This window comes from Homo sapiens, chromosome 7, assembly GCF_000001405.40.
Source record: "Homo sapiens chromosome 7, GRCh38.p14 Primary Assembly".
Lineage (NCBI taxonomy): Eukaryota > Metazoa > Chordata > Mammalia > Primates > Hominidae > Homo > Homo sapiens.
This window is the reverse complement of record NC_000007.14, coordinates 133996305-134019224: the sequence shown is the minus strand read 5'-3', so window position 1 is coordinate 134019224 and position 22920 is coordinate 133996305. Positions and strand designations below refer to the sequence as shown.

Genomic DNA, 22920 nt, shown 5'->3' with positions numbered 1-22920 from the left:
GGCGCTGTGCCTCATGCCTGTAATCCCAGCACTTTGGGAGGCTGAGGCAGGCAGATCACTTGAGGTCAGGAGATCGAGACCATCCTGGCTAACATGGTGAAACCCCATCTCTACTAAAAATACAAAAATTAGCCGGGTGTAGTGGCGCGTGCCTTTAATCCCAGCTACTCAGGAGGCTGAGGCAGGAGAATCGCTTGAACCTGGGAGGCGGAGGTTGCATGAGGCAAGATCAGGCCACTGCACTTCAGCCTGGGTGACAGAGCAAGAGTCAGTCTCAAAAAAACAAACAAACAAAAAACAAAAACAAACATACATCGAAAGTAATACATATCAAACATATTTTAAAACCCATATTATTTTCATAAATACTTCAGATTGCTGACAGGTAGTCTATTACAGAGAAGTAAAAGGGGGAAAACCACCCAGAAACCAAATAAACAAAATACAATCATGGTAACTAGTCACAAGAACTTTATAATTCAGTAGAGAGAGAACATGTTAATAAAAATTAGATGAATAAAATATTAAAAGATGGGAACAAATGAAGAACAATATAGCACATAATGAGGTATTAATTTTAGAGTACAGAAAATTAAAAAAAAAGGATTATAAAAAGAGCAAGTGATATGGGCCAGGCACATTGGAGAAGGTTTCAGAGAACAAAAGGTCCTTGAGCGGAGTGCTGGCCACAGAATTCACTGTGGCCATGTGACCTTCCTTCAGTACTCTGATCTTTTTCTGTTTGGATCAGCAAAGGGTGTTCAGTAAAGCAGGAGGTGGGAATGAAGAGAAGGGCTTTCTTCCTGTATATGATAAAGCAGGTAAAGGGAGGGGCAGGATGGGAAGTCTGGCATGATGTGGTTTACAGGGGCTGTAGCTCTGCTTTTACGACAGCGATTGTGCCAGTTTCCTACTTTCAAGCATCAAAATTTAAACACTACATCTTTATTTAGAAAACAAGAAAGGTCAGCTTCCAGCCTCAAATTTTTCAGTGAGAATTCTAATAGAGTCGGTAAATGATCATTCTTGGGCTTCAGTCACAGAACAAGCTTAATATCTTTTCAGTACAATGCAACCCTTCCCTGGCAGAAAAATAGCCTCCCTGGGTGGGTTAATTAACTAACTATGATGAATACAAAGGTACTGCAGAATATATAAACAGCAGGATTCGATGACAGATTCTGGACAAGTCACTTCTTATTTCTGTTCCTTGGGATCTTTACTGGATAATAATAATACTCGCTATCTATGCTAATCTCTGAATCATTCCAATTCCAGCACATGTGCTACAAAGGGAAGAGTGTCACTGTCTGCCAGTAATCTCGAGGAACCCTAAATTATACATTGACAATATATATATACAAAATATGGTGACACTAATTGAGCATAATCAAAAGAAATCTTACTTAATCAAAGCCTCACACATGAGATATGTTTATGGGGAATCAAACGTCAGTTACTGAGAGATTTTTTTGAGAGGCTTAGAAGTATTTATTGCTCTGAAGTGCTCTGTGAAGGATATGCAGACCAGTAAGGCATGCTCACCCGCATTCAAGGAGTCCTAATTAAATGATTAATTAGAGATCAATTAATTGTTACAATGCACGGGACCTAATGTAAATGTAAAAAAAGGGAGATCAGAAAAAAGCGGCATGGTCAGAAACGGGACAGCAAGGTCAAATGAAGGTTTAATTGGAGAGATGTAATATTATTTAAATCTATTTATATAAAGATCTTTAAAAAGTCCATCAGATCAGGCCGTACAAGATTTGGTTTTATTACTGAATTTTATCAACTGGTATATTTCTTTCTATCTGGCAGTGGAAGCCATGTAAACCATCGCATTTCCCAATTTACTCTGGCCCCTAGGAAAATCAGGGTTAGCTTTTTATCACTATTAAATTTAAGAGATTTAACAGCATTTTAAGGGGCATCATCATTAAAAAAAGAATTTTTTTGGCAGCAGACTAGTCTCTTCTACAAAATTAATCCCAAATCTACACGGCTAATAATCTTGAGTCAAAAATCTGGGGTATTAAAGGCAAATCTTGGGAAAAGGATAGGTGCCCCTAGAATTGGGAAGGCAAACAAGACCAATGGCAGAATAAAGCTGGGAAACGCAAACAGAGAAAAGGATGTGACAAATATTGTGCTTCTTTCTCAGAAACAAAATTGTTCTTCTAGCAAAGCAGTCAGATAAATTTTTATTTGATAGGTGGGGCATTTCACATTTTCAAGCCAAGTCACCTTTGAAGTCCGCTTCAGGGGCAATACCCACTCTTGATTCAGAAGAGTGAGGGGAGATTTAGGAGACCACAGACATTCTCAGTCTGGCTGTCTGTGGGCAGTTCCAGTAGGTGGCAGCATGTCATTGCTAATCCCCTTCTATCAAACTACACTTTGGTCATTCCAAATAGGAAAACTCACAACCTTTCCTGCAGAAAACAAAAGTAATGTTCCCGGTGCAACAGGTTTGTAGGAAATAAATTTATGTAAACAGCTCCCCTGGGAGGAATTCAACATTCTCAGCTATGCCAGAGATCATTCCTGGCCTTAGTGAAGGTACAAGGTCAAGGATAAAGCAGGGGTCTGAATCTGTATGTTTAGTTGCTAGGCTGGCTTTATCACTCTGTCACTTGAGGAAAGTATCTGGACAGTTTAATTAAAAGAGTTGGAGAAGTTAACGTGAGAAAATGCTTCCATTTATTGGGAAGAAGGATGCTCTATCAATTTATGGTGAAAGTAGCATTTCTGTGCAGGCAGCTATGTGATCATGCACTCTCTTTGGTCTTCATGAGCTGTGTTCTGTCCTTGTGCTATGAGACCATTCCTTCCCTATCTTCTTCAGGGGCTCCTCTTCCTTCTCATGCCCTTTTGGGTCTTCCCCAGGGGATTACTCTCCATCTACCTACAGCCTTGATCTCCGTTAATGGTTTTAAATAGCTCCATGCTGATGATTCCCCATATCTGTTTGTTCACTCCCGGCCTTTCCCTCAAGCTTCCAGTTTACATATCCAGTTGCATGTTAGATGTCTCCACTTGGAAGTCCCACATCCATCTTATACTCACCACAACCACTGATGATCTTCCCTCCATCAGACCTACTCCTCTCTCCTCCTGTATCCTTATCTTACTTGACTGTAGTGTGATCTGGCTAGACACTCATGTTAGAAATTGGAGAGTCATCCTTGACTCCTTCACTTTACCCTCACTATTCAATCACTCTCCAAGACCTGCCAATTTTAGCTCCTTCACACTTCTCAAATATGTCTCCTCCATCCCCACTCCCCCCACCACCAAGCACTGATACATTGTTGAAGCCCTACACATCACTTTTTTTTTTTTTTTTTTGAGACGGAGTCTTGCTCTGTCTCTAGGCTGGAGTGCAGTGGCGTGATCTCAGCTCACTCCAACCTCCGCTTCCCAGGTTCAAGTGATTCCCCTGCCTCAGCCTCCCAAGTAGCTGGGATTACAGGCACGTGCCACCACACCTGGCTAATTTTTTGTATTTTAGTAGAGACGGGATTTCACCATGTTGGCCAAGATGGTCTCGATCTCCTGACCTCGTGATCCACCTGCCTCGGCCTCCCAAAGTGCTGGGATTACAGGTGTGAGCCACCGTGCCTAGCCCCCTACCACTTTCTTAGCAATCACCTTCCAGTTGATTGGCAAGGCCTCCAGTTTTATCTTCCTCAAATCCAAGTCCTATACTGCTGCTGAAATGATGTACTTAGAATATAAATCTGACCATCTCACTCCTCTGCTTAAAATCCTTCAGTTACGTACAGGACAAAGTCCAAATAACTTTAACACCCCACAAGTATTTACTGAATGTCTACTACATACCAGGTACTGGTTTAGGTCCTGGGGCTACAGCAGTGAACAAAAAAGAGTCCCTGCTTATGGAGCTTACATTCTATTCAGTGTAGACAGGTGAGGAACAAATAAGTAAATACGAAATATGTCAGATATACGCTTTTTAAAATCATGGTAAGGACAATAGGGAGTGCTGGTGGGGGAGGAAGGCATGTTTTGAAAGTGCAGGAGAGAAGGCCTTAATAAGGTGGCATTTGTGGCTTACCCAAAGCCAGCCCTGACTTCAGGCCTGATGATGACTCAGGTCTCTTCTTTCACCACCTCCTTCCTTGAACATCTTCTCCAGTCCCCGGAACTACCCTTTCTCTTCCAAATGACTTTCTCCCTATTCTGGATAATTCCTATGAAGACTAATATGAAGTATCACCTCCTTCTCCAAAAATTCTTCCTTTATCTTCTACCTCTCAGGATGGATTAGGGAAACTAAAAAATGAGCCAAATATTTCCTTTTAAAAGTTTCCCCACTAATGGGAGGATAAAACTTTGGCTCCTCATTTCCTATGATGAATGATTTAATTTTTCAAGTCTTAAAACTCAACCTCTTTTTTTTTTAAACTCCTTCATCGAGATATAATTCATATACCATATAATTTTCAGACTTAGAGGGTACAACTCAAGGACTTTTAGAATAGTCACAGGGCTGTACAACCATCAGCACAATCTAGTTTAGTGCATTTTCATCACCCCCCAAAGACTCCTCTATCTATTTCCCCATTTCCTTTCGACCCCTACTAATCTATCTCTATAAATTTGACTATTTTGGACATTTCATATGAATAGTGTCATACAAAATAGCTTTTTGTTACTAGCTTCTTAAATTTAACATAATGTTTCAAGATTCAGCACATCATGTCTTTCTGTGGCCAAATAAACTCCATTGTATGAATGTACCACGTTCTATTCATCCATACGTTGATGGATATCTGGTTGTTTGTACTTTTTTTTTGAGACGGAGTCTCGCTCTGTCGCCCAGGCTGGAGTGCAGTGGCACGATCTCGGCTGACTGCAAGCTCTGCCTCCCAGGTTCAAGCATTCTCCTGCCTCACCCTCCCGAGTAGTTGGGACTACAGGCATCTGCCACCATGCCCGGCTAATTTTTTTGTATTTTTAGTAGAGACAGGGTTTTATCGTGTTAGCCAGGATGGTCTCGATCTCCTGACCTCGTGATCTGCCTGCCTTGGCCTCCCAAAGTACTGGGATTACAGGCGTGAGCCACCGCGCCCAACCTGTTTATACTTTTTGGCTATTATACATAATGCTTGCTATGAACATTTGTGTGCGTATTTTTGTACGCATGTATGTTTTCATTTATCTGTGTATATACCTAGGAGTGAAATTCCTAGGTCATACCATAACTCTATGTTTAACTTTTTGAGGAAATGATGCAGCTGCACCATTTTACATTTCTACCAGCGGCAAATGAGGGTTCTAGTTTCTCCATAACCTTGCCAACATTTTCATTGTCTTTTCTTTTTTTTTATTGTTACAGCAATCCTGCTGGGCACAGACTGATGTCTCATTGTGGTTTTAATTTGCATTTCCCTAATAACAAATGAATTTGAGCATTTTTCATGCTTAATATGAATTAGCCACCTGTATATTTTCATTGGATAAATGTTCTCTGAAATACTTTGCCTAATACTTTTATTAATAGACTTTATTTTTAGAATAGTTTTGGATTCACAGAAAAATTGAGAAGATAGTACAGAGTTCACATATAATTTGTACCCAGTTTCCCTATTATTAACATCTTACATTAGTATGATACATTTGTTACAATGAATGAACCAATATTAACACATTATTTTAACTAAAATCTATAGTTCATTCAGGGCCTCTTGGTTTTTACCTAATGTTATTTTTGTTCCAGGACCCCATCCAGGAGGTCAAAGTACATTTTAGTCATCATGTCTCCTAGGCTCCTGTTGGCTGTGATAGTTTTTCAGACTTTCCTTGTTTTTGATGGCTTTGACAGTTTGGATGAGTACTGATCAGGTATTTCACAGAATGTATCTCTATTGGAATCTTTCTGATGTCTTTCTCATGATTAGATTGAGGTAATAGGTTTTGGTAACGTGCCATTTTCATCACATCATGTCAAGGGCACATAGACATACTGTCAACATGATTTATGCATGTTGATACTGACCTTGAGAAAAGAGAGGCTGCCAATTTGGCCTTTCATATAGCACACTAAAAATACTCTAATTGCATTTTTGTTTTGCCCTGATGACATCAAACCCTACCGTAGACTTGAGGAGTGAGGAACTTATTCCCAAATATATACATTTGAAGCGTATTCCTACTTTAGGTAAGTTGTGTATGAAAGATAAAGGAATGCAAACCAAAGCATTTCAGGCCTCTTGTCAAGCCCACCAGTAGCCAGTTCTCTGTCTTGAGCTAATTTAACCTATCAACAGCATTTGACACAGATGAAGACACACTTCTCTTAAAACACTTCCCTTGACTTCTGGGACAACACCCTTTCTTAGCTACCTTCCTATTCTGTTGGCTGCCTCCTCAACTTCCTCTGCTGGTTCTTCGCTAGCACTCCAGCGTCTCAACAGTGGGGTACCCAAGGTCCAATTCTTGGACAGCTTCTCTTTTTCATCTACTTGTGCTCCTATTGAGATCTCACCTCTCAGCCTTTCTCATGACTTTAAATCCCACCTATATGCTGATGACTCCAAAACTCTCATCTCAACTCCAGGTTGTATTGCCGGCTCCCTTTTTATGTCTATTCTGGTGCCTAACAGGCATCTCAAACATTTCTTGTTATCCCCTCTCTATCTGAACCCCCTCTCCGCCCTCCACACACTTCAATAGCCTCTCCTATGGTCTGGTTCACTTTCATTACAGTAAATAAAAACTTCATGCTTTGAATTGTTCAGATCAAAAACTTTGTAGTCTTTGGTTCACTTCTGATTCCTCAGCAAATCCTGTTAGCTCAACTTTTAAAATATATCCTCATCTGACCATATCTCATCCTCTCCAATGCTACCATCTTGCTTTGAATCACCACTACCTTTTACCTAGAAGATTATTGCCACAGTTTTCTAACAGAGCTTCCTGCTTCTGCCTTTGCCTACAACCTCCCCTCCCCAACTAACAACTGTGATGTTAGTTTCAACATCGCGGCCAGACTGATTCACATTATGTAGCACTCTTCTGCTCCAAACCTTCTAATAGCTTCCTACCTCATGCAAAGTAAAACTCAGTGTCATTACAATGACTTTCCAGATCTCAGCTCCTTAGATCAAACCTCAGACTTCATCTCTTACTCTTCCCCTGCTCACTCACTTCATCCATGCTGGCCTTTCTGCTCTGTTCTTCAGATGTTAAGTGTATGCCTCCCTCTGGCTCTTCACCCTTAGACGTTCTTTCCTGGTACGCTCTTTCCCTAGATAGCTGCATGGCTTGCTCCTACTCTTCCTTTAGGTTTTTCCTCAAATGTTACCATCTCATTAAGGACTTCCATTAACACTCTAAAATTTCGGATTACCTCCATTAGACTCTGGCACCCTCTGGTCCCCTCCCCATGCCTACTCTTTTTTTTTTTTTTTAACTACAGCATATATTATCATCTGAAATACTTTATATATATTTTACTTATTTATTACTTTGCATCTTGCCCCACAGTAATGCAAGTTTCATGAGGCCAGGACCTACAGAGAACATACGCTGAATAAATATTTGATGAAGGAATGAAGAAATGAAGGAATAACCGGGCGAGGAATCTGTCTTGGGTGTTACAATTTTTCGCCCTACCGCTTCCCGAATCGTAGCTTTTGTTTCCTTACCTTGTGCAGGTTTAAGAATGAAAGATACCAGTCCAAAAAAAACCAAAATCAGGGGAAAAACTGAGGAGCAATGAAACCTTGAAGGAGGAGAGCAGGAAGTAGAGCTATTGGAGAAATAAAGGAGAAAAAAGAGACAGCTGAAGAGGCAGAGAAAGAAACAAAATGGGGTAAAGAGGGGAGAACTGGGAAGAAAACTCTGGGATATTCTTTTTGAACAATGGCGTCACTCAAGCTAGAAAGGTTGTCAGATATATCTTGGGGACTCCAATCATCGTTCGTTCAGACCTCTCTTGTTATGCTGCCACCATCTGGACTCCTAGGTGGCTTCTGTGACTCACATGTGGAAAGGTGCATGACAGCTCAAGTTAAGATGATCTGTGATGAAAGGAACTAAAAAAGCACACTCATAAAGCCCTTCCACCTTCTAACTCATCTACACTGATTTTCCTGGATAAAGTATCTTTTTGACTCTGAAAATTAACAGGGGGGTTAAAACCGTAAGAGAGCTTAAATGATCATTACCATAGAGGACAGAGGCTCTCTGTACTTCTGGTAATGTTACAAGTTGTCTGGTTCCTTTGCTCACCCAAGATCTACCCTCATTTAGAGATTAGTTAGAGGGAAGGTGTGCATGAAAAGAGAGAGACAAGATAACAATACTATGAGTAGAAGAATCAACATCAATGGAATCCCTCCAGATCCTTCATTTCTTTATTACAGAAAGGTGTTATATTTTCCACTGGCCAGGAAGGCTGAGAAGGTAAGAAAACTACAAGCACTTTGCAACTTCTTGTTAAATAAGTTTTCTGACACACGGCAACTAGTGATTAATTACTGTGTTAGAAGATAACATTCCTATAGAGATTTGCTGGAAATACAGATGCTGTCCATGCTTGATTAAACATTGCTTAAGGAATGCTGAGGTACACTGCTGCAGTCTATTATTTCTGGCTATTTTGGTATTGCTGTTTTATGTATTTTACATAGCTTCAAATATGGTAGAATTGATGGAGCCCCTTTCACAAAACCTGTCCCTACCAAAAACAAGAAGCGGGGGAAAAATAAGGCTATAAAGTGTGTCTGTATGAAAACAAGAAAAAATGAGAGGGAAAGAGACTATGAGTAGTAGGGCTACAATATGGTTTCTGTTTTACAAAGAACGAACTGCAAGGAAGATACGCTTTTTCTTACAAGCTTATAAGAAAACTGACCCATGCCGGCTACTTTAAACTTTCAGGCAATTAAACATAAACTGACCTGTCAATATCCAAGGTCTTCATCCACACCAAAATTAGCCTTGATTTGATATCTTTTCATTCATTCAGTACATACAATTAACACTTACTTTGGTAGAGGCACTGAGAAAAGAGTCTCGGCCTCTTGGAGCTTAGTCTTAGTAAGGAGATGTCTTCTAAAGCAGAATCAGAAGAACAGATTCATCCAGTGCTGTATCTTTATGCTAGCCTATTTCCTGTCAAAAATCCATGTCAGAATAAAGAATAATAGTAGCAATACATGTCCCAAGTGGTCACATGCCACTTGTACCTACTTCCTGGGACACAATTCACCAATCCGACTGTGAAAGGCAAGGCGTGGTTGGGACTCAGTTCCTGAAGAAATGCTTCATCGGCACATGACCTGCTGATGCCAACTTCAATCCTGCCCAGTCAGCATTGCATTATTCAGATGCCAGGTTTTTCAGGCCCCAGACTGTCTGCCAAAAACTGTGTTAATTTACTTATTTCAGCTAAATAAAAAAAATCATTTAAAATAGGATGATTGAATTTAGGAATTATATTCCTTAGAGCATTAGTAATGGGTTTTTGTATCCCTCAGGCTTCTATGTTCTTAACTTCTCCTTGTCAATGTTATTATGACTAGACTAATTCAATAATGAGATCATTCCCCATAAGAGCGACCAAATAAATGCAGCATTCAGTCACACCTGGTTTCCCTAATCTGAGCAAGGAAGGCTTTCCATCAAATTTAGCCTAAAACAGGGAATTTAATGAAAACACACACACTCACTCATTCACTTTCTCTCTCTCTCTCACTTTCCCACAAATAGAAAGAAAGAGACAGGGAAGGAGAAGGACAGAAAAGCAGAGGAACAGGGTAGCAATGGAACAAATGGAGTAACAGATTGAGGAAGAAAGGTTAAAAATGAACATATATGGTTCATACCCAAAACAAAGATCACAGCATATTGTCTTTACAATTGTTGAAGTAATATAATATTTCATCATCTCCATAAATTGTTTCAAATTTTCCTGCACTTCTCAAAGAATCAAAAAAATCAAGTGAAAAGACCACAGAAATACTAAATCTCAGGCAGAAACATTGGGCATTATTAAAAACAAAGGACTTCCTAGCCATAAAGGCTTTGGAAAATAAGGGAGTTTACGGAATAATCCACTCAGGTATAAACGGCAATAGAGCATGAAGATAACATATTTATCATCTATCATCTTCAAATTGCTTAAGCTTTTATTAAAGCACCAAAGGTTTGATATTCTAATTAAGGTTTAGATGGGGTTAAGACAAATGAAGAGAGAAAAAAATTAACTCTCAAATCTTGAAAAACTGTATTGTACAAAAACATTAAAAATTGAGATCAAGGCCAGGTGCAGTGACTTATGCCTATAATTCCAGTGCTTTTGGAGGCTGAGGAAGGAGGATTGCGTGAGGCCAGGAGTTCAAGACCAGCCTAGGCAACATAGTGAGACCCTGTCTCTATAAAAAAAATATAAAAATTAGCCAGGCATGGTGGTGTTCGCCTTTAGTCCCAGCTCCTCGGAGGATCCCTTGAGCCTAGGAATTCAAGGCTATAGTGAGCCATGTTCACACCACTGCACTCCAGCCTAGGTAACAGAGCAATACCCTGTCACTTAAAAAAAAATTAAGATCAGAAAACTTAGAGAAGAGAAAGGATAGTGATGAGTTCTCACTTTCCTCCCAGTGAGAACAAGAAGAGATGGGTTTCAATTGGAACAAGATGGAAGAAATGAGAAGTAGGTTCCTGTAAAAATACAGTAGATACATGTTATTCACAATGAGAGAAAAAAAGGGAAAAATTCAAATGTTCAAAAATTTGCAAGTGATGAAAAAATAAATATGGCTCATTTATACCATGAAATATTTATTCAGGCATCATTAAAAGTAACGTTTTCAAGGAGTATTAACGAACGTGGAAAAATTATGTTTTCAAACAACGTTATTGATAGGGGAAAACAAAATTAAATTAATATAAAATTGCATTAACACAGTTCCAGTTTTGGAAAAAGGGCAATCACATGCTTGAATATGTGTGAAAAGTCACATAAACAACACAGCACATGCAAAAAAGCCAGGAGAAAATATACCAAATATCTTAGCCTCTAGATCAAAGGTTTATATTCTTCTTTGTATCTTATCTTATATATTTTATGCAATGAGCATGTATACTTTTACATGCAGAAAAAAAGAGTTATTCAAGTATTGTAGTTAAGAAGAACTTGGGTTAGACATCAGGAAAAACTATCTGCCAAAGTAACAAAATTCAATAGAATTCTGTGGAATTATTTTCTCTATAGGACCTAAAAACATCTATCTGTGCTTCTTTCTTTTTTTAAACTAAGCTTTTTCTGCACCAAGAGTCTATTTTTAAAAATGACTTCACAGGCAACGAGGTCTTAGCTTTGGCATAAGAAACTAAACCCAGTTTTCCCTCCTACCTTGCAAAGTCCAGGTCTGCCTCCCGCGACATGGTGATGTTGGTCAAATTCTGCTGAAGAACAAAAATGTTCCTACACATTTTCTTGATGCCAGACTCACTGATGCGCCTGAAGTACTGGGCACCATTAATGAGGATGCAGGAGATCAGGTGGCCCAGGCCTGAGGGGTCAGCACAGTGCGGGGCAAAGAAAACGGATGACAGATTAGAGGCATTCCTGCAGAAACTTGCACACAGAATTGCTGTCTTCTAATCCTCTATACATTTAAACGACCAAAGAAAATCTACCTCTGATGGTTGCATCTGCTGATCTGACAATAATTTTAGGGTATTTCTACATTGTCCTAGTAGTTACAAATGAGTGGACTTCATGTTGGTGGCAAAGCCTGGTAATAGCCACATCTCCAGCATTGCCATGTACACCTACTGCCACCATGCCAAGGCCTTAGAGAAGAGGCCAGGTTATTATAAACTGTTGAAGTACACAGGAAATCCCGCTTTTCTTTATACACAATTGGGAAGCAGAGAAGACCACAGGCATATACAATGACCCTTTTGCCTCTCCTTCCTCCTACAAAGTAGAGAAGGACACTTTGGGCTCAAAAGTTGATTGGGAAGCTACATAAATAAAATCAATATGACACTGGGCATTGGCAATAATGTTAATATATTTCAACATTGCCAAGTAAAAAATAAATCAATAAGAAATTGGGTTATTGGCAATAATGCTAATATACCTTAACAATGGCAATGGGTGTATAAGACACAATTAGAAAAAAGGGTGAAGGAAAAGCAGATCATACATTAACTGTTGACTTCCCGTGAGACACCTGTGGACATTTTGGGGCCCCCCCACAAGTAGTTTGCTCTTAGGTCTGGAGGGTTGTCTTATGGTCTGCAAAATTTAGCAAAGGGCAGCTCAGGACATCAGCAAACTAATAAGTCCTCCTCAGGATATCCCATGTAATTAAGTTGAGAGACACTGGTTCAGAACAACGTGAGGCACATATGGGTTACTATTTTTAAAAGCTGGATTTTAATTCTAAATGGAATTCAGTAAACGTTTCTTCCTTCTTTCTTATTCTTGGATGCTAGCAGGACATTTTCCTTGGAACTGTAAACTGGTCTGACTAGTTGCAAGCCATTTGCTATTGGTTGTTTTCCTGTTCTGAAGTCTAGTCCCTTCCCCGAGACTCTGAGGTTTAGATCAGAGTGCGGGGCTTATCTTTAGGTCCATGGCTCCCCATGTCTTCAAAATGAGTTTTCCCTTGATTAAGGTGAAAGTAGAAATGAGGGAGGAGATGCATTCAGGTCTTGCTTCAGCTACACTCAAACAACATTGCTTCAAGACCACAAACTTGTATGTGTTACTATTTGAATATGAAGAAAAGTTTTTATTCAAAGAAAAACACAACTGCAGATTCTACATTTAAAACTAGACAACTTATTTATATGAAAAATCTCTGTAGGCCAAGTTTTGGTGTCATTCTCTCAAGTCTGTAACTTTAGGTACAGTTTTTGTTTGTTTGTTTGTTTGTTTGTTTTTGCTGCCACAATATAACGTGGTCTGCAAGACTGGGCAATGAAGGGGTATGCTGTTTGTAGAGAATAAGAAATAATAATATATTATAATAAATATATTAAATGCATTTTGTAATAGGAATAAAACAAATGTTGATATGCAGGGGCTGGGAAGAGCCACAGTCAAGAGCACAGAGGAAACTCGGTGTAATAACAGAAAAGTGAATTCTCAGGTAGGCACTGCAGCTGAAAGCTGCAGAATATTACAGATGCCACCAAACTCATAGTGCCATGGGGTTAACTGCCAGCTAACCCTTCAATCACTTACACTTTTTGGCTAAAGTCTTTGAGAGATATACCCCAACAGAACACATCTCTTTATAACTCCATATACATTTAAGGATTGGATTTTGGGGGGCCCAAATTTGCTGGAATATAACTTTCATAAAGCAAACATTGGCCATGTATTGTCAGTTTGCCACAATCCTTTGGACAATGTACCTTCTTAGTTGTTTTAAATAATACTAGTTTAATTCTGTGAGAGAACACAGATACAAGTTTTCATACAAACAAACCAAAACATGGACAAAGGGAACATAATGTGGAGTCCTAACAGGGATCCTCTGGGTGAAATTCACCATGAAAAATTATTTGGGTGCCATCACATTTTTTCCAAATTGTGAAGGGTAATGTCTTTAGATGGCACTTCCTGTCTCTCACACCCTTCCTTGCCTGCCCCTTGGAGGCATTTATGGACACGTCCTTCCTAAAAATTGCCTCTAATCAGAGGCTTCTGTTCTTTCCAGATGATTATAACATTCTGTGAGAAAACTTCCCGTTCCAGTGATAATTTTAGCCAATGAGTGATCTTTCAGGATTCTCTCCTCATTGTGTATGTGTGTTTTCTTTTTCTTTTATAAGCTCCTCTTGAGTTAATTTGTGGCCCAGTCTGCACATTCTCTCAAATCTCATGAATGGCATGTCAGGGAGGCAGCCATCTGCCTTATCTTGGATTAAATCTCCTTATCAACCCGGAGCAGATGGCGGCCATATTGTTGTCTACCTAGTCATACACAAAGAGGCTAGGTATTGCAGATTTAGTTCAAACAAGCAAGCAAGCAAACAACTCTTTTCTACAAGTCTTGAACTTCAGTAATACAGAAAATCAGGAAAACTTTCATCCTTTCTTCCTCCCAAACTCCCAGAGACAGAAGCAGGGTCTGACCTTCGAAGATATACTGGAACTTGTGCTGCTGAAGGCTGGCGCTCATGGCCTCTTCAATGGCGCTGATATCTTTGTTGAGCTTGACCACCAGGGGGTCATAATCCATACTTTCCACATTAGCCACAATGGCATAGTTCCCCTCCTTTGCAAGAGGGATAAGATAGTGGAAACAGTGAACCCTGAAAAAGAGAGAGATAGGGAGAGCAGTTAATAATAAATCCTTCCAGGGAGGGCAATGATCTTGGGACAGAGCACCAAAATAACTAATAAATTATCATTAATAAATGTAAGACTAGCCATGATAGCCAACACTTACTGTGTACCCTATTTGTGCCAGACACTATGCTCTACACTTAATATGAAGCAGCTGTGGCCTTGTACATTTTAATGTAAACACCCTCCCCTCTTTTAACCAGAAAGCCATCTTAGTTATTCTATAGAACAACTGAGTGATCTGGGGCAAGCTGGCTGCTATGATCATTGCTTGTTTAATCTATACAGTGTTGGGAAGGAGTTCTAAAATTCTCTTCAATGCCAGGGTTGTAGGCATACTGTGAAAAGCATTGTAATTTTCAACAGATATTGTTGCAATGAAGATGAGAGGCCGAGTTTATAGATCTTAAAAGTGTAAGGAGACTACTTTGGCTTCAATCACCAGCTGTATGACTTTAGGCAAGTTACTTTATCTCTCTATCCCTCAGTTCCTTATCCACGAAATATGGGTGAAAACAACACCTGTCTCATAAGGTGCTGTGAGTAACTACTACATGTAAAGTGTTAAGTATAGCAGTGTCTGGCACAAATGGCGTGCATAGTAAGTACTGGCTGTCATCACTAGTCTTATATTTATTAACAATAATTTATTAGTTAACTAAATCATGTATGGAACCTCTATGAATTTGTAAGAAATTGTGCTAGGCCCTGGAAATATAAGACAGTTTGTATCCCTAAAGACCCATAACCTAGTGGGGTAGATTAAGAAAAAAATGACTAAAAGAGAACAGCATCTCACTCTAAGCACATCCATCCACGTGCCATGGAAATGTGCCACGGGGTATCAGGAAAGGGTCCTGACAGAAGGTGATGCTTGAGTCTCACAGAACATATCTGACAGCTTGAGGAAGGAGGGCATTTCTGTGTGAAAATGGCCTGTGTCAGTCTGGTCACACACAATTCTCAGGTGCTTTTTGGCAGATATTAGTAGCTGCTGAGGAAGTCTGAGGTGGGTATGGATTGGCTGCACTGCCACAGCCTTTTAAAGTTGTAATCAAAGTGTTTCAGTCCAAATTCTGCCCTACATGCAGGTATTTGTTTTGAATCCCCCACCGTAGCAGAAAAAAAAAAAAATCCCAAACCAATAGTATCCCTTGGCAGGCAGAGTTCAAACAGGCTGTTCCATAAGCCCAGTCTAGTCCTAACTCTGTTGTTTTAGGTGCTCTGTCTGACCTTGCATGGAAGGTTCACCGGAGGTAAGAAATGATGACATAATCCAGGGTCTATGTTCTGTTACCTTTACAGTTGGCATCAAGTAATAAGAAATATTCCCAAATGAATGGCTGCAAAAGCCTTGGGCATTATTATCTCTAATGATGCGACCACGCTTTGCCTGTCATCTTTCTTTAGTCAGGTTTATTGAGAAATAATTTACAAACAGTATAACTCCCCCCTTTTAGTGTACAGTTCTATTAGTTTTAACAAACATGTACAATCATATAACCACCACCAGAACCAAATTACAGAACACAAACATCTCCTCCAAAATTCCCTGTGTCCCTCTGCAGTCAATCCCTACTCAACTCCCAAACCTTTGGCAACCACTCATCTATTTTTCTGCCCCTACAGTTGTCTTTTCCAGGATGCCATATAAATGGAATCATACAGTATGTAGCCTTTTGAGTTTGGCTTTTTCACTTAGCACAAAGCATTTGATATTCACCCATGTTGTTCATTACTTTTTATTGCTGGGTAGCCTTCCACTGAATTGGATGTCCCACAGATTATCTATTCGCCCATTGATATTTAGATTCTTTCCAGGTTTAGGTGGTTGTGGATAAAGCTACTTCATGTACACATTTTTGTGTGCATATAACTTTGCATTTATTTCTCTTGGATAAATACCTGGAAGTGAGATTGCTAGATCTCACTTATGGTAAGTGTATGTTTACTTTTGTAAGAAATTACCAATTGCTTTCCAAAGGAGCTGTACCATTTTGCTTACTTACTGGCAGTATACAAAAGTTCCAGTTGTTCCACATCCTCATCAGTACTTGGTGTTGTCAGTTTTAAATAAAAATTTTTGGTCATCCTAATAGATGTAGAGCAGTATCTCACTGTGGTTTTAATTTGCATTTTCCTAATGACTAATGATGTTGAGCATATTCTCATGTGCTTATTTTCTGCGTGTATATCTTTGATGAAATATCTGTTCAAATCATTTGCCCAGTTTTAAAAATTGGGTTTTTTGTTTTCTTATTATTAAGTTTTGAGAGTTCATTATATATTCTGGATACAAGTCCTTTATCAGATATGGACTTTGCAGATATTTTCTCCTGGTCTTTGGCTTGTATTTTAACCTTGACAATGTCTATCAAAAATGGTTTTAATTTTGATGAAGTTCAATTTATAACTTTTTTATTTTTGGATGGTATTTTTAGTGTCACATTTCAGAAGTCTTTGCCTAAAAAAGATCATAAAAATTTTTTCCTATGTTTTCTTCTAGAAGTTTTAGAGTTTTAGATTTTACATTTAGTTGAATGATCCATTTTAAGCTAAGTTTTATATGGGATGTGTCATATTCTTATAAGCAGTTCATCCAAGAGAATCCAAGTATCTTGACTACTGCTCATTTTTACTGATAGATGCTCATCTTAACAGTTGCTAATTAACTAATGACTAATTTCACCAATAAAAACTCATTCTGATATTCAAGTACTAATTGGCACAAATGTATAATTTTGATAAGAATACCAGTAATGGCACTGGTTGTAGCCTCCTCTGGAATGTGAGCTTTCTGACAGAATGAAAGTTGACCAACTCTGGAATGGGATTCATGACTAGCACACTGATTGCTACTGTGGTTGAAATTTAAATGAAGTAGCACTTTGTTGAAAATAAAATTAAAGCATCTATGCTAAAGTATTTTTAAAGTAAATGACAGACATTATGACTCCAGGCAATGAGAAGACCATGTAAAATAGCATGAGACTATAAATGCAGGATGTTCTGAGGACTGGTGAGCAGTTCTTTTCTGCTGCACACAGATCCCACATTACAGGCACTCCACGAGCTTGGGGAGATGGGCACAGGCCAGGTCAGCACAGGCTCTGAAGGCCATGTAGGGAATCAAGCCTTTATCCTAGAAGCCATAGGGATCCTTAGGGGGATTTTAAGTGAATAATATAATCAGACCTGAGCTTTGGCAAGATCACTCTGGCACAGTATACAAGTGGATTAATAGCAGAGAATGGAAGCAACTGGAAGTAGAGTGACTAGTTAGGAAATTCTTATGAACTGGAGGTGAGAGCTTATGAGACCTTCAAGCTACTGGGGGAGAAGACATATAACCTTTCTTTAAGGTATTATCTTCTTCCCAAGTGATTAGAGATTAAAAAAAAAAAAGAAATTAAAATAGTCATCAGCGAATGCCAAATTCAAATAAAGTATTTTTTTAAATTTAAATTCTGGCCTGTTGTTGCTGACCTTACTATGACTTTGACATTAACGTATTCTGCAAACACTGCTGATTACACAGTGGGGTGGATGATTTTCAGAGAGTGCACACTTAGGATCCCAACAGTGATAGGCAGTTGCTGTTGAACCTACTTAGAGCCCTCCTGATGGTGAGAAAAATCAGCTGATAAAGGTGACATTCTTGGCATCTTGGACTCAAATGGCAACTTAATTTTCTTCTTCTAAAGTTCAAATAGAAAAAACAAACCTCAATAGTTTTTAATGGGCTCACCATGTCTTTCATCTCTTGGGGGTATCATTTGCTTTATGCTTCAAACTGTGGAAAGGGGCTGCTTGGTGGTTAAAATGTGACCTACAATGACACAGGTAAAATGTCAAACACTCCTTAGATGGATCCTTCAACACAGACTGCGCTGGATTGGAAAACAGTTTTTGGTTTGAATTTTAACAATGTCAAAGAAAAATATGGGCTATGGATATAAAGATATTTGGGGGAACAAGACCAATTTTTGGCATCTGAAGTTGTTCTGGACTTTTTGCTAGCATATCCCATTACTTTTTTCCATGAATTGTTTTCTTCTATCTGTACTATTACAGTGGTTTCTTGGCTAAAAGTGCCAGAGACAGGAGCTAACCAGCCACTTTTTCACCACACCAGCTCCTGGACAACCGGGCCTACGTTCTAATTCTTTTTTTACAGCAGGATGGGAACAAAACAAACATTAGTTGATGAGAATGATATTGGCCACACAGCCTCTGTACCTCTTAAGATAATGCAGTGGACTTACAAGTGGACTGCTATGTAAAAACAGAAACTGCAAACCAATTCATTTTCTTTAAAGACAACAGGTTTTGTTTTGTAAAGTAGCCCTTACTTTATCTGGGTTTGGTTTCAAACCAACTAATTCTTAATCACATTTTTACTGAGCACCTTATATACAGCAGGATATTAGGTTTCAGGGCCAGCCATCACAATGAACAAGCCACACCTGGAAGAGCTGCTCGATGGTCTCTACCACAGTCACGCCCCCAGAGCACTTAGCAGACACCTCTATTCTAGCGTTATTATACTAGAGTGGCATGAAATCTGTCTTTTTCATTTTGTATCATCACTGTGCAAACTGAAAAAAAATTGTTAACGTGACCAGGATAGAGTAAGTGCATCTACATTCACTATCCGAGCCTTATGTGGTGTATTCTGCTAGTTGTATCTACCTTACTTTAAAAGGAACAAAGACAAAATGGAGCATACTCATTAGAAAGCAACCTGAGTGTTGGAACCATGTTACATGAGGAAGTGAGGAAATTTAATTTAAAAAAATCCCATGCTTCGTGTTCTGAGTTAAATTCAAGGAAAGATAATTCTACATCCAGGGCTCTAAAATTCAGTCTTTTTTGATATTCATTCTTAAAAATGACATTTTTCTGTTTTTAGACTAATGTTGAAGAAGATATGGCAACCAGTGCTATAGCACTGTATAGTTTCTTGTAAATTAATGACTAAAGCATGTTCAGTATTAAGAAGAGTATTGCCAAGATGTATCAAAAGGGCAGAATAGGGGTTAAGGATTTAAAAGATCTTATTCAAATGTGTTGCAAATATCCCACTTGGAATTAACTACACATAAGTAAACAATTCTGAATGTAGAATATGTATAAGCACACGATCAATAGTATAAATTCCAGGAATTGTGATAGTAACTAATTTGGTATTCCCTTGTTTTCCTTTGTAACTCAGGTAACAGCGGCATTAGAATATTACTTGGTATTTTTCATTTCCTTCCATCTATTGCAAATATTTGTTCATAGAAAACACCTGATTTCTCTGTCCGCTTGTAAATAAAGAGATACCAAATATGAAAATTATTGTAAAACAAATCAGAAAATATACAGAAAGAGCTTTATTTCTGGACAGCTTAATGTGAGAAATAACATCAGGAATAATGCCACGTAACACAGATTCTAAATCTGCAATGTTACTTCTCTTGTTCCACTCACAAGGCTCTCACAAGCAATAAGGAAGTAACTCACTGGGCAATGGTAATGAAGGATAAAAAGCAAGTAGCACACACAAGGAGTCACCCTGGAAAGAAATCCAAGTTCTAACTGGAGTCCAAACATATTCCCAAGGGTCACCTATCAAACAAAGTCCTATTTACATTTTTAAAATCTAAATCTAGTAAAGACTTCAAATGAAAAGAAAAATATTCTATCAATGTTAATCATGTTCCAAAGCAATACAGAATAGAATGTATTACCACACCATGCACTTTCTGATCCTGATGTTTTGACATTGCTACCTAGTTGTTTAATAAGCATCCCAAACTGAACATCTCTCAATGGCATACTTGATTTCCACCCTTCTCCTCCCTCAGTGTTTCTCCCCTCAGTTAATGGCACACAGTTGCTCTGGCCCCAAACTAGTGGTTTTCCTTGAGTCTTTCCTCTTATTGCACCAGCCCCTGTGTCCAATACAATCTGTCAACAAACTTCATTAGCTCTACCTTCAGCATATGTCCCAAATCCTATGCTTCTCATATCTCTACCTCTATCACCTTGATGCTCAGAGTTGTTTTCAACTGGTCACCCTGCTTCCATTTGTATTTTTCCCTGCAATCCCTTTTCCATACAACAGCCAGAGTGACCTTTAAAAAATGTTAATTAATTGATATCTCTCCCTTTCTTAAAACTCTTCCATGGCTTCTATGACATCTGAATGATTCACTTGGTCTGTAAGACCCTGTAATGTGTCAGGCTTCATGACTCCACAGGATTGGGCTCCAGCCTGTCTCCTGTGCCTTATTCTTTCAGTCCTCCCCACCCAGCTTGTTCATCAGCCTACAAGCATATCAGCCTCCTCTCTGCTCTTAAAACCGCCAAGCTTGATTTTGTCTCAGGACCTTTGTGAGTGTGCCTCCTTCTGTCTGAAACTCTCTTCCTCTAGGTCTTTGTACAGACTGATCATTCTTGTTACTTTGTCACATTTCTTCTGACCATTTTATCTTAAAGAAAAGAATCCCATTCCTAGTCAGCCCCAGCCACTCTTGGCAACTGCCCACTATGCTAGTACTGGGCACATGTAGCTACCAAGCACTTAAAATGTGGCCAGTCCAAATTGTGATGTGCTGTAAGTACAAAATGTGCAGATTTCAAAAGCTTAGTGCAAAAGAAAATGCTGAATACCTCAATCACTTCCATTGATTGCCTATTGAAATGCTGTTTTGGATATACTGGGTTAACTAAAATATATTAGTATAATTCTTTTACCTGTTTCCCTCTACTTTTTCAAATGTGACTCCCTTCTTGACTAGCAGAGCACTTTAGTAAAAATATCAATCACAATAAAGTCACCACAATAGCAAAGCTACCATATTTTGAGCACTTACTTTGTGGCTGACATTGTGCTAATTATTATTTCATTTATAAAATCTCTATAAGTTAGAAACTATCATTTCCATTTTTAAAATAAGGAAACTGTGGTTTGTAAAGTTAATTAACTGACCTAAGATCACCTAGCCAGTTGATAGTGACATTCCAATCTAGGTGACCTGATTTCATAGATCATGCCAGCTCTGAATCACCACACTCACAATACACTGTGCGCTCAAATAATCACTGAATACAGCTAAAAATCACTTTCAGTGTAAAAAGGGATAACATCAATAATATGAGCCAGAAATTATGGTGATACTGCCTGGAAATAAGCAAGTGATTTATGAACCGCAGTGCATTCAAATTGCAAGGTCCTGGGCTTGGCTGTATCATACCTCACTTCCAGATGTAAGACAAGCAAGCAGCGGTCAGCCATATCCTGGAACGATTTGGCAAGTTCACTGAGAGTCTGCATGATCTGCTCTGACACTGGGGGGAGATCCGTGTTCGTGTGGCTGTCTTGAGCAGGAGAAAGCACTGAAAGGTAAGGATAAAACACCAATCATTTCATTAGATGCCTACAGATTTTTCTGAAATGACATATTATTTTGCTGTTCATCTTGTTTTTACTAGCTTGGTTAACACTAGTGTTGGCAGCATTAGAAGTCCAAGACATGATAGACAATTTCTATATTTGATTACACATAGAAGTGCAGTGGCTTATCTTGAATCAATTCATATAATAATATTTAGGTTGGTGCAAAAGTATTACTTTCAATGTCAAAAACCATAATTACTTTTGCACCAACCTACAGAAACAGAACCTCAGAGTTGGAAGAGGCCTTCACTGTCATGTGGCCCAACCATCTGGTCTGTGCCTCCATCTTCTGTGCACCTTCAAGTGGCTGTCCACATTCTGGCTGCACACTTACACAAATGCTGGCGAAAGGAAACTCAATACCTTTCAAGGCAGCCTGTTCCATCTCCGAAAGATTTGACCATCTTACATCAAGCCAACATCTGCCTTCATTAACTTCTAATCATTGGCTCTAATTTTACCTAACTTTGTAATCCTTCACACATGAGTCAGTACTACAAGTATTGAAGATACCTATTTTGGCTTCCTTGAAGTCTTCCCTTTTCTATGCGGAATGTCCACAGTTCTTCACCCATTCTTCTAATGATTGAATTAAATTATAATTCTCAAAATTTACCTACCAAAACATTCCAATTTTTCTCTATTTCCCTTGAAATGTAGAACTCAGGACAAAACAGAATAAATACTACAGAAGGGGCTGACCAGTCTAGAGAGAATGATCAATTCCCTTTTTCTAGATGCCATGACGCTTTACACCTCCCTAAATTCTGGGAGGTGGAAGTGGTAGTGTGCTGTATTCCACTTCAACTCATATATAGCTTATGGCCAACTAAAAGCCCTAAGAAGGTCTTTTTGGAAAATTTGATAAAGCTACCTTCTATATATTTCCAAAACGATTTATTAAAATATTTAGCACCACTTAGACATTTTCTTCAAAAAAAAGCTGAACAAAAACAAAAAACTACATCTGTTTATCTCTAAACTTCTATTGTATCCCCATGTCCTCACAATTTCTCAAAGATTCCCAACCAACAATAATTTGGTGATCTCATTCAAAAGTTTTCTTAGCTCTCTAGAGCCTCAAAGTTTGGCTTTAAGTCCTGGCTCCAACATTTACTTTATGTGA

The 22920-nt window shown here is 38.8% G+C and overlaps 1 protein-coding gene across 10 annotated transcripts in view, besides 1 other annotated feature; it reads right to left on the bottom strand.

The window, feature by feature from the left end:
* The window catches only part of EXOC4 (exocyst complex component 4), an 847874-nt gene that overhangs the window by 81727 nt on the left and 743227 nt on the right, over nucleotides 1-22920 (bottom strand). For all 10 annotated transcript variants that reach the window (XR_007060126.1, XR_007060125.1, XR_007060123.1 and 7 more), the window contains 3 exons: nucleotides 21592-21733; nucleotides 14135-14313; nucleotides 11390-11549 (listed from right to left, as the gene is read on the bottom strand). Coding sequence is in view for 2 of the 10 variants with exons in the window: in NM_021807.4 (NP_068579.3) it covers nucleotides 11390-11549; nucleotides 14135-14313; nucleotides 21592-21733 (481 nt within the window). In the remaining 8 variants the exon portion in view is untranslated. The remainder of the gene's footprint in view (nucleotides 1-11389; nucleotides 11550-14134; nucleotides 14314-21591; nucleotides 21734-22920) is intronic.
* Nucleotides 12463-12663: a silencer, noted in NCBI's record as "peak6743 fragment used in MPRA reporter construct". NCBI's record gives its function as "represses an SCP1 promoter by STARR-seq MPRAs in K562 erythroleukemia cells {active_cell/tissue: K562}" and the evidence as "EXISTENCE:reporter gene assay evidence [ECO:0000049][PMID:32103011]".